The 16,618-nt window shown below is 55.2% G+C and overlaps 1 protein-coding gene across 6 annotated transcripts in view, besides 2 other annotated features; it reads left to right on the plus strand.

Moving 5' to 3' along the window:
• The window catches only part of TBC1D24 (TBC1 domain family member 24), a 30,604-nt gene that overhangs the window by 3,886 nt on the left and 10,100 nt on the right, over window positions 1-16,618 (plus strand). For 2 of the 6 annotated variants that reach the window (XM_047434388.1, XM_017023494.2), the window contains exon 1: window positions 4,007-4,074. The exons of the other annotated variants lie outside the window; for them this stretch is intronic. The gene's annotated coding sequence lies outside the window, so the exon portion shown is untranslated. Of the gene's footprint in view, window positions 1-4,006; window positions 4,075-16,618 lie in introns of those variants that run through there. 6 annotated transcript variants of the gene reach the window in all.
• Window positions 3,860-4,361: an enhancer, noted in NCBI's record as "H3K4me1 hESC enhancer chr16:2532873-2533374 (GRCh37/hg19 assembly coordinates)". NCBI's record gives its function as "activates a minimal SCP1, AML or CMV promoter by ChIP-STARR-seq in primed H9 embryonic stem cells {active_cell/tissue: H9 hESC(primed)}" and the evidence as "EXISTENCE:reporter gene assay evidence [ECO:0000049][PMID:30033119]".
• Window positions 4,362-4,861: an enhancer, noted in NCBI's record as "H3K4me1 hESC enhancer chr16:2533375-2533874 (GRCh37/hg19 assembly coordinates)". NCBI's record gives its function as "activates a minimal SCP1, AML or CMV promoter by ChIP-STARR-seq in primed H9 embryonic stem cells {active_cell/tissue: H9 hESC(primed)}" and the evidence as "EXISTENCE:reporter gene assay evidence [ECO:0000049][PMID:30033119]".

Genomic DNA, 16,618 nt, shown 5'->3' on the forward strand with positions numbered 1-16,618 from the left:
CTCCTGAGTAGCTGGGACTATAGGCGCACACCACCATGCCTAGCTAATTTTTGCATTTTTTATAGAGACGGGGTCTCACTTTGTTGCCCAGGCTGGTCTCAAATTCCTGGACTCAAGCAGTTCTCCCACTTTGGCCTCCCAAAGGCTGGGATTACAGGCATGAGCTACGGTGCCTGGCCTGGCCTTTTAATTTGTCTCTTGGAGTGAAGGATGGAGTATGGGACGGGGGGGATGCCAGTGTCCTTGCAGTGGCCTTCCTGTCTCACGTGTCTATTTGCCTTTTGGGGAACCTCCAGCTTCAGTGTCGCTCTTCTCAAAGGACCTAGTTCACCTGCAGTCTGAGGGTTGCTCGTCTCAGACGTTCCCACAGGTAGGGCTCTGAGAAAAGCCTTCTCAGACCGAGAGACCCAAGGCTGCAGAGCCCTCAGGGGCACCTCACTCTCCTTCCAGGACCCTGTTTCTGTGTGGTCCATCAGCATTGGCAGCAGGTACAACTTTGGAAAAAGTCTGCTGAGAACAGAGGCCACGTGTGTGATGCGTCCCCCACCCCCTGAGTCCTCCACCTGAGGGGTGGAATGGATGAGGCCGGGGAAAGGCTGTGCTGCAGAAGCAGCCCCTATCTGCCCGTGGCCAGCACGTGGTCCCCCAGGGCTGGCTGAGCCTCTGGATAAGGCTTGAGCTGTTATCTACACCCTCCAACAGAACCTGCTCACAGGGGCGCAGGCTTCATGGCCTCCGAGGACTGTGCATATGCAGCCATGGCTTCCTGCAACCCTCCCCAGTGTGTTCCCTTCTTTTTTTCTTTTCTCTTTTTGTTAATTGTTTTTTTTTTCTTTTGAGATGGAGTTTTGCTCTTGTTGCCCAGGCTGGAGTGCAGTGGTGCAATCTTGGCTCACCACAACCTCCGCCTCCCGGGTTCAAGCGATTCTTCTGCCTCATCCTCCCTAGTAGTTGGGATTACAGGCGTGTGCCACCATGCCCAGTTAATTTTGTATTTTCAGTAGAGACGGGGTTTCACCATGTTGGCCTGGCTGCTCTCGAACTCCCGACCTCATGATCCGCCTGCCTCGGCCTCCTAAAGTGCTGAGATTACAGGTGTGAGCCACCGTGCCTGGTCGTTAATTGTTTTTTTTTAAGAGACTGGGTCTTGCTCTGTTGTCCAGGCTGGAGTGCGATGGTGCAGTCACGGCTCACTGCAGCCTCAACCTCCTGGGCTCAAGCCATCCTCCCACCTCGGCCTTCTGAGTGGCTGGGACTACAGGTTCTTGCCACCACACCTTCCTGATTTTTTATTTTTTTGTAGAGACAGTATCTTACTATGTTGCCCAGGCTGGTCTTGAACTCCTGGCTCAAGGGATCATTTCACCTCAACCTTCCAAAGTGCTGGGATTACAGGCATGAACCACTACACCGGCCTGTTCCCTTTTTCTTGCAGGTCATTGAGAACACACCACAGGGGACCTGGGAATCTACTGAGGATACAGATTTCCCACAATCCGAGACTGTGTGTCTGCCTGATTGTTACATAATTTTAATTGGGTGCCACACACCGAGAGAGGTTGTTTACTGGTGGGCCATTCGGTTTCCAGTAAAAGCCCTTCCACTCACTGTGGCATGGTAAATGGAGCTCATCACATGGTCCCTTCAGCCTTTCCTTGAATCATTTCCACCCCTTCCCTAATTACCCTCTGTGATCCCTTTCCCGGCAAGGGTCCTTCTAGCCTTGCTACCTTGGTAAACCTGTGGCCTTAGGATCGAGGTGTGGACATTAACTTTTCTGCTCTGGCGGCTTCCTGGGCTGTCCTCTCCATGTTCCCAGCACTCAGGGGCACTGTCCTTTCCTGGCAGCCTAGTAAATCCCAGGCCTCTGTTTTGGGCCCTTTGGCTTCTTGGTGCCTGTTATGCTGAAGCGTAGAAGTGTCTTAGTCAGAGCCCCAAAGGACACTCACCGGCCCACGTTCTCATGGAGCTGGGTAGCTCTGACCAGACTTGCCCTCTGGGGCCCTGTCCTTTGACCACGCTGTCTCTATCCCTTCTGAGGCTAAGGCTTCCTCACACTGCAAGATCCAGCCGAGGCAGGCCTTGGCGCTGGGAAAGCACCGTGTCACAGCACCTGCACCTTGAATTGGCATCGTCAGTACACCTGACCCGGGCTGGGGTGGGGCCATGCCTCTGTACTCCTCTGCACTCAGGTACCTGGCACACTGGCATTCGGGAAGCATGTCTTGAATGCCTATTAAAATGATTAGGACCGGGCGTGGTGGCTCACGCTTGTAATCCCAACACTTTGAGAAGGCAAGGTGGGAAGATTGCTTGAGGCCAGGAGTTTGAGACCAGCCTGGGCAGCATAGTGAGACTTTGTCTCTACCAGACATAAAAAGTAAATAAAAATAAAATGATTAAACATGCACAACTCCACCTCGAGCTGGATCTCTCCTTAGGTCTAAAGACACTTGCTGAGAACCTGATGTGTGCCTGGCCTTCCAAGGCACACCTGTCACTGGCTTGGAACTCAGACCAATCAAAATGCCTGTGCTGCTGACAGCTGAGCTCTCTTCCTCTGGTTCTCCTCCTGTGTCCTGGGGGTGTTTTTCCAGACCTGCTGTGGGGAGAACCTTTGGGCTCAGATGATAAAGATCCTGAATTAGCAGAGTCCTGTGCCAGCTCCAGCCCCTGCCTTTGGGTGGACCGGACTAGGCTGGGGAAAGAAAGATGTCTGGCTATGAAAGGGTGGCTGGCCAAGGTTGAGGCTCAGCCTGCCCCTGCTCAGGCTCCGAGCAGCAGGCTCAGCAGCCACAGTTAGGCACGTTTGCACTTCCAACCATCACAGGCAGGCGGGCCAACCGGCCCATGGTGTGGTGACTAACACCTCATTAATGGTCATACCCCTTCTGTACCTGGCATGTGCCCTCCATTGTGTGCCTCCGGCAAAGAGCCCACTATCAAGTTCCCCAGTCAGCAGCTACTTGGTAGTCACTGTGGCATGTCGGTCACCATTAATATTTGAAAGATGCCTGTGCTCTGCTTCAGGCTGAGGCAGGCACCCCTTACCTTCCTGTTATGTGAAGATGCCTGCAGGAAAGGTCACACCTAGGGTGGGTGGACTAGTAATGCTCCCTGTTGTTATTTGGCCTTCAAAATTAAATTTGTCTTGGGCCCAAGTGGTTTGCGATTTCTCTGAGTCTCTGCCTGTTTTCTTCTCTGTTCCCTCCTTCCCAGGGTACACTGGACATAGTGTGAGACGCTTGGGTGCAGAAGTCACGGTGTGGTAGCAGGGCTGGGTGGATAAGCCAGCACCACGATGGTGGGTGTGCTGGGCAAGGGTGAGGACAGATGTGGACAGGAGGCGTGGAGCTCTGTGACGCCTTGGCCCTGCCCCAGAGGTCCCATGGAGGCCTGTGAAGGAGGGGCGATTGGACTGAGCAGAAAGCGAAAGGGGACAGGTGTCTCCTGCCACTCTGAACAGTGACATTCCCACAGTGTAGTGTGGGGACTGCAGTTGGCACTGTGTGGCCAGGGCTCCGGAAGCTGTTGTCCGAGGGGCAGGGAGGGGCTGGGTCCTGAAGGGCGGGGGACACCAGGAGAGGGTTTCGGGTGGAGAACGGTGACCGGGTGAAGCCCTGAGTGGGCAGGAGGCTGGGAGTGGGAGCTGAATTGCGCTGGAGTCACATGGAGTGTGAATGTTGTGACTGTACCGGAGACACCTGGGAAGCAGCTGGAGGGACAGGTCTGGACCTCAAAGAAGGATTCTAGGCTCAGGAGAGGGTGGGCTCCATTGGAGAGACAGGCACGGGCGGTGGAGGAGCAGCCGCGGAGAGGTGAGGGGATGCCTGGCAGGGAGGCAGGCGGGATGAGGCCCAAGGCAGCTGGGAGATCTGGCGGCCAGCGCGGCCAGCGGCGGGAGGGCCGGAAGCTGGGTGTCATCTGCTCTTGCCAGCCACTTGGCTCAGAAGGAAAACGGAGAAGAGGTGGAGCTGGAGTGGAGCCTCAGGCCCTGTGGTTTGCTGTGTTTGGGGCCTGCTGTCACAGCACTGGGAGCCTTGGAGAGAGATGGGGAGCTGGGATCCCCAGGAGGTGAGAGCCAGGACTGAGGGGGGGCCTTGGTCTGTGGTGGGAATGCAGAGAGCTGGGAAGCTCACGCCTGACAAGCCCCCTTTCTTGGGGTAGAGTGGGTGGGACGGGGCAGCTGTGAGCTGGAGAGGAGAGGGTGTCGGTGAGGAGTGCTGCGAAGGATGCCAGGTGGCACCGGGGGCTGGGCCACTGGAAACCGCTGAGCAGGCGGCAGGACTTCTCCCTCTCCCCTCGGCCGTTCTCGTGCCTCGGGCTCACTTCCTCGTGCAGTTTATCCATATGGCTGAGACAGGAGCGTGGGGTTGGCGGGCGGGAGTTGGGGCTTGGCAAGACGGTCCAGGCTGAGCTGGCAAGAGAGAAAAGCCAGAGTGGCTGGTGGATGCGGGGAGTCACAGCTCCGAGTGGGAGGAGGGCGCTGAGGGCTCTAGGAGAGGGTATGGGCAGGTGTATGAATGTGCAGCCTCTGGAGTGGGTAGAGTGGTTTTCTGGAATGCCCGGGGACTGGATAAAAAGGTAGAGATGTAAAGGCTTTTAAAGTTCTAGAGGCCACGGAGCTTTCCAGCCAGGACGGTGAACTTGGCCCTCAAGGGAGGGCAGCACAGAGAGGAAGGCCCTGAGCTGGAGAGAGAGGAGGCGGGTGGTGATGGGGAGAGCCCGGCTGCTGCTCGGCCCAGAGGAGGAAGGGTACGTTCGGGAGAGGATGAAGACTTGGGAGTGGTGTGTTTGCTGTAGACAATTTCCAGAGCAAGAAGGCAGGCTGGGAGCAGGGGCCGGGGGTAAAAGGCAGATAGCAAGGTAAGGAGGTGTGGGGGAAGACCAGCGGCTGTGCTCACCGTGGTTAGTGACACTGTCACCATCCAGCCCCGGTCAGACATGGTCCTATAGCTGAGGGTCTCACCAGGCAGTGGGGGCACAGGTCAGGGGAATGGGATCGCCAGAGGAGCATTCTCAAAATGTGCCTGTGCAGGCATCTCCCACCCCTGACATTCTGCATGGGAGGACCAGGGGGTGGCCACCCTACATGCAGCAGACCCCTGGTGGTCATTCTCCTCTCAGCCTCCCGTCCTCCCCTCCCCACCTCACCACCCCCAGTGGATGTTTCTGATGGCTGTGGCCTCTGCACATGCCCTCCAGGCTGCCACACCACAGATCTTTCTGGAATAAAAGCTTGATCTCACCTCTCCACCCCAGTACTCTGGTGGTGCCCTGTCACTATCGGGATGGAGTGGTGAGCAGGCCTTGTTACCCAGTTCCCCACCCCCACTGCTTAGAGCAAGTCTTGTATTTCCCTGCTGCTGAGTGCAGATCCTCCCCCTGCCACCCCAACGCCCAGTCTGCCCTGCCAACCCCAGCACGCTGTAACCGCCTTCTAGAAGGGCTTCCGGAACCCATCCAGCTCCCTGGGGCATGCGACCACCCCGGGGCCTCTCTGCTTCTACACATGTCTACAAAGCCACTTTCTGACCTCACTGTCAGGTGACCGATTTCTCTCTCAGCTCTTCCTAGCTCAGTGCCAGGCACCTAGGAGGCACTCAGGAGAAGGTTCCAGAAAGAACGGGTACACCTGAGTGCACAGACAAGTCCAGTGGCTCTCTTCCGTCGTGGTCCACTGTGCCAGCTCCATTGTTCCAGGGCTGAGGCCTAGGGCGGTGGGGCTATATGGCAGGAGGAGTGTCTGCACTTTGGGCCTCTGCCTGGGATTTATTTGTGTCTCTGAGGCATCCAGCAGACTCTTGGAGGACAGGATGAGGTGTTCCCTGGCCTTTCCCAGCACGTAGGTGGGAGGCCTGGGCCCCTCATGAAGAAATCAGACTTGGCGTGGACTTGCAAGGAAGGTCCCCCAGCCGGAGGAGGCGTCATCCCCTCCCTGGGGCTGAATGCTGGGGCCACCTCTCCCCTCATGCCTGCCATCCACACCCCGCTCCAGGTCTGCTTTTAGGCCCCAGTCCCTGCCCCATCTAGTGTGTTCTTCCAGCCTCCCTCCACCTACTCTCCCAGCACCTCTGTGATGTTGTGAAATATCTATTTGGTCTTTGTCCTTGTTTAGTGACATACAACTCCTGAAATCCTCAGAATCTCCGTGGTGCTCTTTCTGTGCGCTGGTGTTGACTGATAGCTTCCGGGTGGCGCTGGTCACTGGAAAGACCAAGGCAGGATTAGCGGGTTAGAACTTTCAGCCCCACCCCCAACCGCGGGGAGGGGAGAGGTCCAGAGGTGGAAGGTCAAGTTGATTGCCAGTGGGGTAATCAGTTATGCCTACTTAACAAGGGCTCCATGTCAACCCTAGAAGACAGGACTTGGAGAGCTTCTGGACAGCTGAATAGGAGGGAGTGCCTGGAGGGCAGCACCGTGTCCCTCTCCCGTACCTCACCCTAAAGGTCTCTTCATCTGTGTCCTTTGTAACAACCTTTATAATAAACTAGTGAATGTAAGTGTTTCCCTGAGTTCTGTGAGCTGCTCCAGCAAATTCATTGAACCCAAAGCAGGGGTTGTGGGAACCCCAACTTGAAGTTGGTTGCTGAGAAGTTCCAGAGGCCTGGACTTCTGACTGGTGTCTGGAGACGTGGGGGGCTTGTGGGATCTGAGCTATCTCCAGGTAGATGTCTCCCGGTGTCGGGATTGAATTGGAGGACACCCTGCGGGCGCCCGCTGCAGAATGGATTGCTTGCTGCCGGGAGAAACCCCCGCATCTTCTGGGTCGCAGATCCTGTGCCGATTGCGGTGCTGGCGTCAGAGCAGAGGAAAACGTGGTATGAGAGTTTTTCCAAAGAGTCCAGACACGCTTCCAGGCCCTCTCAGCCACCCCCACACCGTCCCTACCATTCCCACCTGGCCCGCTGCTGCCTGTGCCCCAGGGTTTCCGGGCACTCCGAGCTTCCCTGGCAGGCAACAAAGCTCTCATCCCTGGATCTTGCGGATCTCGCGCCCGGGCTGGAATGCCTGTGCTGCCCTCCCCTGCCTGGCGGGTGGGGTCGGTGCTCAGGAGCGGGTGGGGCCTGCCGGTCTCCCTAGCCCACCACCAGGTTTCCTCTGTATCCCCGCAGCACTTGGCAAGGTCCAGGGGCTTCCGTGGGGAGCGAGATTGTTTTGGATCCCGCCAGGGGAGCCCACTGAGAGGAGCCTGCATCTCCTATCACGTGAAGCCCGCAGGGGCCACAGCACCTCCTTCCTGTGGTCCCTAGCTGCGGGCGTTGGCGTTCCCCACCCATGGGGCCCGGCCTCATTTCCTCTTCCTCTTCATTCCCGGTCCCACTCCCAGGAAATGGTGAGGGATTGCTCAGACCAGATGGGAAGAAGTGAGACGAGCGGCAGCTGACGCCCATGCCCTGTTCTGTGGCCCGTGACTGAGGTCCAGCCACACAGAACCCCGCGTCCTTGATAGCTTGTCAGCTGCTGGGACGGGGGCTGTTCTTGTGGCCAGGATGTGTGTGGTGGTCAGGCCAGGGCAGGATGGGGCCCAGGCCTGCAACCCCAGCTCTTCAACCTGGAGTCCTAGCGAACACTGACCTACGTTGGGACAGGGCTGCCTCTTGCCCAGGGGGCTGCAGTTGGCCCCTTGGTGGCATCTGGGAGTGTGTGGGAGTGCCTTCTGTGCTGTGGGCCTCATCCCCAGGGCTCTACCTCCAGCCTGAGCTGCTCTGGCATTTGCCTAAGAAGCATCTGTATCGAAACTGGCTTTGAAAACTTCACAGTGGAGCTTCCCTGGGCTGGAATTCTCTGTTTGTCGCTCGCCCCCGCCTCCAGCATCCCCAAGTGGCCTGGGCTCTGACTGCCACTGTCAGGCCACGGTCCTGTGGGATCCAACCCTGAGCCATCTCTGGGGGTCCCCTCATCTTCTCCACCCTCCCGGTCTAGACTCTGCCTTCCTTTCTCCCTGGCTTCTCTGTCCCAACCCTTCCTCCTCCAGGGCCACCAGGGGGATTTTTGTAAACGCAGATCTGATCGGGTCACCTGCCTAGACTTTCCTCCTACCCCGTGTGGGGACACCCGCCTCTTAGCGCATCCCAGCCCCTCAGCACTGCCAGGGCCGCCCAGCTCGCCTTCGCCCACTCTTGCCTCCACATCTGAGGGGCACCGTCCCCACCCACAGGCTGCCTCCACACCTTTCCGCCCCTTCCACAGCAGCAGGCACAGCCCTGCCCGTGGGGTTCCCCTAGCACTTCCCCAGCTGCCGTGGTTGACAGCCTTCTCTCAAGCCGCCTCTCCCTGGCACAGAGGCGGCACCTCAGTGGAGGTCTGTCATGTGACTAACTGCAGGACGAGGGAGCCGCGGTCGTATGCTGCCTCCTCACGTTTGCTGTGACCTGGGACAGGAGCGGTCCCCAGGAAGGGAGGCACGGTGTCGGGGTTGGTGTTGGCCGTGTTAAAATGTCATCAATGAGGCTAAATGTGTGTTCTGTCTTTGTACATGAAAGAGAGTTTGTTTTCAAATCCGGTTGTTTGGGAAAATCACATTCCCCTCTGAAGAAGCGAGACGTGCAGAGGCCTCGTGACTCAGGCTGTCAGGCCTGGAGTTTGGTGCTGGAGTTTTGTGCTGGAGTTTGGTGTTGGAGTTTGGTGTTGGAGTTTGGTGCTGGAGTTTGGTGCTGGAGTTTGGTGCTGGAGTTTGGTGCTGGAGTTTGGTGTTGGAGTTTGGTGTTTGGGGATGGCAGGTGGTGTTACTAGTGGCAGCCTTGCCGGGGTGGCCTGTGTCTCCAGGACTCGTGGGAGGGCCCTGGTACTAGAAGTGGCCGAGTGCCCTGAAGTCCCAGACCTGCGTGGGTCCTGCCTGTGCTCAGGGACCCTCTGGAGCCTCTCTCGGAGGTCCTCGCTGTCCCAGGATGAAGGGAGATGGAGCAGCAACAGCAGCCAGCAGCTGTGGGGTTGTGTTCCGCCCCGAGGCTGGGGTGAGCTGCTTGTCTGCTGGAGCGAAGGGGCCAGCTGCCCCGCTGGGGCCCCTCCTGCCCCGTTCTCCAGTGAGGATCTACTTCCTCCCACATCCATGCTACCTCCCACCTGCCTCCTGGCTAGAAATTAGCTCAGGGTGCCACACTCTTGACAGACGGCCCGCCTCCCAGCCCTGGCCGCCTTCCTCTTCCTGTGGGCGCCTTCAGGGGGTTTGCTGCCAGGGACGGATTTGGGGGTTTCTTGGAGCTCCCATGGAGTGAGGACATAGGCTGCTGTTGGGTGTTCCTGGCTGAACACTGGTCAACTGGCAGGAACTGCCCTCCCTGGGAAGGCTGCTGGGGCTGTGGCGGGGTGGGGGTCTGCAAGCCTGTAGCCATTTAAAGGGCCCCTCCTCACATGTGGTAGAGCCAGAACTGTGCCCTGTGGCCAGAGGGCACGGTGGTCACATGCGTCAGATGACATATCAAGATAACATTTTGGGGAAATAGAAATCGCTTATACTCATTACTCATTCGCACATAGCTTTTTTTTTTTTTTTTTTTTTTTTTTTTGTGGGATGGAGTCTCGCTCTGTCGCCAGGCTGGAGTGCAGTGTGCAGTGGTGCAATCTCGGCTCACTGGAAGCTCTGCCTCCCGGGTTCACACTACTCTCCTGCCTTAGCCTCCTGAGTAGGTGGGACTACAGGCGCCCGCCACCACACCTAGCTAATTTTTGGATTTAGTAGAAATGGGGTTTCACCATGTTAGCCAGGATTACAGGTGTGAGCCACCGCACCTGGCTGCTTTTTTTTTTTTTTTTTGAAATATTTGGCCGGGCGCGGTGGCTCACGCCTGTAATCCCAGCACTTTGGGAGGCCGAGGCGGGTGGATCACGAGGTCAGGAGATCGAGACCATCCTGGCTAACACGGTGAAACCCCGTCTCTACTAAAAATACAAAAAAAAAAAAAAAATTAGCTGAGCGTGGTGGCGCGTGCCTGTAGTCCCAGCTACTTGGGAGGCTGAGGCAGAAGAATCACTTGAACCCGGGAGGCAGAGGTTGCAGTGTGCCGAGATCGTGCCACTGTATTCCAGCTTGGGTGACAGAGTGAGACTCCTTCTCAAAAAAAAAAAAAAACAAGAAAGAAATATTTGCTTTGGAGCAGGAACAGAGTGAGACCCTGTCTCAAAATGAATGAATGAGGCATGGCCCAATGGCTCACGCCTGTAATCCCAGCACTTTGGGAGGCTGAGGCGGGCGGATCACGAGGTCAGGAGTTCGAGATCAGCCTGGCCAACATGGTGAAATCCCATCTCTACTAAAAATACAAAAAAATTAGCCGGGCGTGGTGGTGGGCGTCTGTAGTCCCAGCTACTCGGGAGGCTGAGGCAGGAGAATGGTGTGAACCCGGTAGGCGGAGTTTGCAGGGAGCCGAGATCGCGCCACTGCACTCCAGCTTGGGCGACAGAGCCAGACTCTGTCTCAAAAAATAAATAAATAATAAATAAATAAATAAACGAGCGAACAAATGAATACAAACATTTGCTTCTGATCTGCAGGTACCTTGAGCTCTCAAACAGGCGTGGCGTTTATGAGGAAAGGCCATGTAGGTCCCTGGAGAGGCTTCCCGGGTGAGAAAGAAGCCGCACTGGGTATGGAGGGCAGCTTGGCTGTGGAGAGAGGCATTAGGAGGGGACGGTGGCCTGTGAGAGAGCTGCCCCTGGCCCGTGCAGTTGCACCTCCCTCTGCAGGACCGGCTGCGTGTTGACCCGCTGGGACCGTGATGTCCCAGGCATTCTAGAACACCTTTCTAGCACCTGGCCTGGGACCCTGTAAGGATGAGAGCATCCTCAGGCAGCTGAGCGGTCCTGGCCGGCCGGGCTGGGCTGAGTGCTTTCTATCAACAGGCTCAGTAAATCCCGCAACAGAACAGGGACTAGAGCCCATCCCTTGCCAGTTTCCCACTGCGCTTGGAATATAATCCACGGGGGCTTGTGGGTGTGTCCGTGCTGCCCTCTGCGCCCTGTAGCGCAGCCAGCCTGTTCCTCCCTCAGCCTTTGCACCTACTCTGCTGGTGTCTGGAGCGCTTCATCCTCAGCAATCCCGGCTGCTTCTTTCTCACTCCTCTGGCTCAATGTCATCTCCTGGGAGAGGTGTGCCCTGAGGATCCTCAGTAAAGTAGCTGTCACCCTCCAGACCCACGGTGTGGACCCCCACCATCTGAAACTGTCTGTGTCTGTAATTCTTGTGAGTCTCGTGGGTGTCAGGTGGAATTTTTCCTATTTTCCTGGAATTGCAGGCTGGGCCCAAGGCTGAGGACCAAAGACAGGAGGAGTGCTTCTCTGCTCCACACTCAGGGAGCTGCTGGCAGCTGGGCTGACAGGTGCCACCTCGGAGAACCAGCGCCACCTCACTCCGTGCCTCTGCAGGGAACTGGAGCCTGGTGGGGAAGCACACTTTAGGTGAAGGCAGTGCAGTGTTCATGGCGAGCAGCGATTCGCTCGGACCCCAGAGGCCACAGGAAGATGGCTTCCCCCACAGGAGGCACCCTCACAGGGCCCTGCTGGCACTGTCTGCCTTGGGCTGCCTGAACCCGGAGAGAGAGTGGGATAGACTGTTCATGGGGTGTCACCCTTATGTCACCTGCACCCCACCCTGTCAGTCCAGAGTGAGGCTCAACCCACAGGGGTTGCTTGGGAACTGTTGCCCGTGAGGAGTTGGGTGTTATTATCGGCTCCGCTCTGCAGACATGGCAACCGCAGGTTAGGGAAGATGCACGGCTTGTCCGCATTTCAAGCAAACAAGTGGCAGAGCTGGACTTTGTGGCCAGGCCTGTCTAACTGCAAAGCTGCCCCGTTTCCACAGTAGCCCCTGCCTCCCCTCTCACTCCCTCCCCGGCCACCGCCTCCGGCTCTGCACCTTTGTCAGGGGTTGGGGGACTGCAGGGAACAGAGGAGGCCTTGTTTGCTGCGTAGGAGCAGGTGCGGCTTATGATGTACAGCAGCAGCCAGCCAGCAGATAGACAACAGGGAAAGCCACTCGGCCGTGAAAGCTCACCTCCAGAGTGTGGGCACTCAAGCCCATAAGTGCTCCAGCCTGGGATAGTTTATGTTTTTGATCAGTTTCCACCTCCCCTTACCTCCTCATCTCAGTTGCCAGTTTAAAGAAAACCTCACTCAGTTGTGAATGCAAGAAAAAGGTTTGGCAGGATATATACCAAAATGTGAATAGCGATTATCTGTATGTGGAAGGGGAGTAGGATTAGAGAGGTAATTTAAACAGAACTCTACATTTTTACTCCCTAATTTTGGTACTATTTGACTTTTTGTGATTTTTGCATTCAAATATCACCAGCGTAATGAAAGACTTTTTTTTTAACCTAAGGAAACCAATCTGGACCTCGTTTTTATTTATGTATTTATTTTTTATTTTTGTTTTCATTTTATTTTTTTTTTCAGACAGGGTCTTGCTCTGTCACCCAGGCTGGATGGAGTTCAGTGGTACAATCAGGTCCCACTGCAGCCTTGACCTCCTGGGCTCTGGTGATCCTCCCACCTTAACCTCCTGAGTAGCTGGGACTACAGGTATGCGCCACCACGCCTGGCTAATTTTTTTTTTTTTTTTTGAGATGGAGTCTCACTCTGTCGTCCAGTCTAGAGTGCAGTGGCTCCATCTTGGCTCACTGCAACCTCTGCCTGCCGGGTTCAAGCGATTCTCCTGCCTCAGCCTCCCACGTAGCTGGGACTACAGGCATGTGCCACCACACCCAGCTAATTTTTTGTATTTTTAGTAGAGACGGGGTTTTACCTGCTGGCCAGGCTGGTCTCAAACTCCTAACCCTGTGATCCACCTGCCTCGGCCTCCCAAAGTGCTGGGATTACAGGCATGAGCCACCGTGCTTGGCCCGCCTGGCTAATTTTGGTATTTTTTTGTAGAGATGGGGTTTTGCCATGTTGTGTGGGCTAGTCTTGAACTCCTGGGCTTGGCGTCCAAAGGTCGTCCCCGTTCAGCCTCCCAAATAGCTGGGATTACAGGTGCATGCCACCAGGCCTGGCCATTTTTTTTTATTTTTGGTAGAGATGAGGTCTCATTATGTTGCCCAGGCTGGTCTTGAACTCCTGGGCTGAAGTGATCCTCCTGCCTGAGCCTCCCAAAGTGCTGGGATTACAGATGTGAGCCCCTTTGCTGGCCTGGACCTGGTTTTTATAGATGCCTTAAGTGGGTTGTTGCCTTGTGTGCACAGCCCCAGAAATGTCGTGCGCTCTTTTTGAGTGAGGGTTTGGGGAACAAGAAAGAATCCAAGGGCTCCCTCGGGTCTTTTGCACACATCCTTGGCTCGGGGGTCCCTGTGAGTCCAGCACGTCGCCGGACCATTCGCGGCAGTAAACACAACTTGGGATCTGCATCTCCCTAAGGGAACTTCGCAAGGTGCACCCACAGCTTTTACTGTTTCCAGTTTAATATTCAACCTGAATCTGGGGCCAGCCGAGTGGAGGCTGGTGCTGCTCTGCCCAGCTCCTGTTCTGTTTAGAAACATGTTTATTGCCTTAAGAAGGAGCCAGTTCTTTCACCCAAACAGGATGGGCCTGGAGTTCCTCCAGAGGCTAGTGGGCCCATAGCAGGGAAGGAGGGATGTAAGCTGTGGATAACCGACCGACACGTGTAAGATTGTGCAGTGTGACCCAGGCGTGGCTGTGCGCATGTGAGTGGACCTGTCGGCCTGACCTTCAGGACCAGGGAAAGGGGGAGCCCTCACTGCCTTCCCTCCCAGGACGAAGCAAACCAATCAATGGTCTTAAGGGTTTCTTTTCTTCTGAGGCCTAGTCCTGCTGTGGGCAAGGTTTTTCCAGTGGGATACATTAAAATCAACTTCGGTGGCTCACGCTTCTAATCTCAGCACTTTGGGAGGCTGAGGCGGGCGGATCACCTGAGGTCGGGAGTTCGAGACCAGCCTGACCAACATGGACAATCCCTGTCTCTACTAAAAATACAAAATTAGCCGGGCGTGGTGGCACATGCCTGTAATCCCAGCTACTTGGGAGGCTGAGGCAGGGGAATCGCTTGAACCCAGGGAGGCGGAGGTTGCAGTGAGCTGAGATTACGCCACTGCACTCCAGCCTGGACGACAGTGCGGCACTCTGTCTCAAAAAAATAAATAAATAAAAAATGGCTAAAATGGTAAATTTTTTGTTTGTTTGTTTGTTTGTTTGAGACAGAGTCTTGCTCTGTCGCCTGGGCTGGAGTGCAGTGGCACAATCTCGGCTCACTGCAATCTCCGCCTCCCAGGTTCACGTCATTCTCCTGCCTCAGCCTCCCGAGTAGCTGGTACTACAGGCTCCCGCAACCACGCCCGGCTAGTTTTTTTGTATTTTTAGTAGAGACAGGGTTTCACTGTGTTAGCCAGGATGGTCTCGATCTCCTGACCTCGTGATCCACCCGCCTCGGCCTCCCAAAGTGCTGGGATTACAGGCGTGAGCCACCGCGTCCGGCCTAACATGGTAAATTTTATGCTATGTGTATTTTACCACACACACAAAAACACGTGTCGAGGTGTTTTCCCAAGACAGTGTCTCGCAGACGTACGTTTTACACTATGATTTTTACTTTTCAAGAACTGTTTTAAAGCAGTATTTGCCTTATAATAGGTAGGTGAATGTTCTAGCTGCAAGAGAAACCGGAGTGGTCTGGTCACTCAACCAAAACCTGCTGAAGCAGACCCCTGGGGCACACTGGGAACTTCTACCATCCCAGGTGGAAAGGTTAGTCTGATGTGCGTAAGCAAACCTTGCACTTCTGTGCGCAGGACGGTATCCTTGGGCCAGGGCAGCCACCTGTTGTCCAGAATCCCACAGGGCACGTCTTACCCACTCCTTTTATGTTTGCCTGAGCCCAGGGGTTGCTGTTCTTGGAGAAACACCAACCACCCCCACTTGACTTCTGGCCCATTCGGATCCAGAAATGTGCAGTTTTAAAGCTGCAGCACCTTCCATTTAGGTCCCAGCTCTCCCTCTGGAAAATGCCTGCTCCTCACCAGAGATTCCTCCCTGGAGCACCTGCCTGAAGCATAGCTTTCAAGCTGGTGGTTTTAGAAAGTTAAGAGCCGGCTTCAGAATTCCGACAGGGTGGGATAGCATAGGCTGTGACTTTCTTAGCACACACAGCTGGTTAAAGAGAACTGGGAACGGGCTGGGCGTGGTGGCTCACGCCTGTAATCCCAACACTTTGGGAGGCCGAGGTGGGTGGATCACGAGATCAGGAGTTCGAGACCAGCCTGGCCAACATGGTGAAACCCCATCTCTACTAAAAATACAAAAACTGGCTGGGTGTGGTGGCGGGTGCCTGTAGTCCCAGCTACTCAGGAGGCTGAGGCAGGAGAATCACTTGAGCCCGGGAGGCGGAAGTTGCAGTGAGCCGAGATTACGCCACTGCACTCCAGCCCGTGCGACAGTGCAAGACTCTGTCTCAAAAAAAAAAAAAAAGGGAGAACTAGAACGAAGCATCTCTTTGCTCAAAGTGATCTTCTCAACTGGGGGTTCCTTTTCAGAAGGCCCCCAGGGTGCAGGGTGGTGTTTAGGAGCCTGGAGTGGACCATGCTCGAGTGGAAAGGTGTTTTCAGCAGGGTCAGCCTCTTTTTTTGGTAGAGATGGGGTCTCACCATGTTGCCCAGGCTGGTCTTGAACTCCTGGCCTCAACTAGTCCTCCCACCTTGGCCTCCTGAGTAGCTGAGATTATAGATATGAGCCACTGTGCCCAGCCAAGGGCCAAGCTCTTGAAGCCCTTCTGGGAACTCTATCTCTAGCCTCTCATTACTCAGAATCTGTGTGATGTATTCCAGTAACTTCATAAGTTCTGTGAAAAGAAGGTATACTCCAAAGTTTGTAACGGCTTCTCAAAAGTCACTTATCTTAAGTGGAAGCCCTTCTAATACTTACACAAAGATTAAGGCAAATAATGTGGCTGCGCAACGTGACTCTCACTCGTAATTCCAGCATGGTGGGAAGATCACTTGAGGCCTGCGGTTCAAGGCCAACCTGGGTGACAGAACAAGACCCCATCACACACACACACACACACACACACACACACAAAATAAATAATAATAATAATAATAAACAAAAAAACAGGCCAGGAGCACTGGCTCACACTTGTAATCCCAGCACTTTGGGAGGCTGTGGTGGGTGGATTGCTTGAGATCAGGAGTTTAAGACCAGTCTGGGTAACATGGCAAAATCTCGTCTCTACTAAAAAGAGAAAAAATTAGCTGGGCGTGGTGGCGCCTAACTGTAGTCTCAGCTATAGCTGAGGTGGGAGGATCACCTGAGCCCAGGAGGCAGAAGTTGCAGTGTGCCGAGATGGTGCCATTGCACTCTAGCCTGGATGTCAGCACAAGACCTTGTCTCAAACAAAACAAAACAAGGCCGGGCACAGTGGCTCATGCCTGTAATCCCAACATTTTGGGAGGCCAAGACAGGAGGATTGCTTGAGCCCAGGAGTTCAAGACCAGCCTGGAGAGCATAGCGAGACCCTGTCTCTACAAAAAAATAAAAAATTAGGCCAGGGCGGTGGCTCTCGTCTGTAATCCCACACTTTGGGAGGCCAAGGCAGGCACATCACAAGGTCAGGAGTTTGAGACCAGCCTGACCAACATGGTGAAACCCTGTCTCTAGTAAAAATACAAAAAAT

The sequence above is a fragment of the Homo sapiens genome, chromosome 16, assembly GCF_000001405.40.
Source record: "Homo sapiens chromosome 16, GRCh38.p14 Primary Assembly".
NCBI lineage: Eukaryota > Metazoa > Chordata > Mammalia > Primates > Hominidae > Homo > Homo sapiens.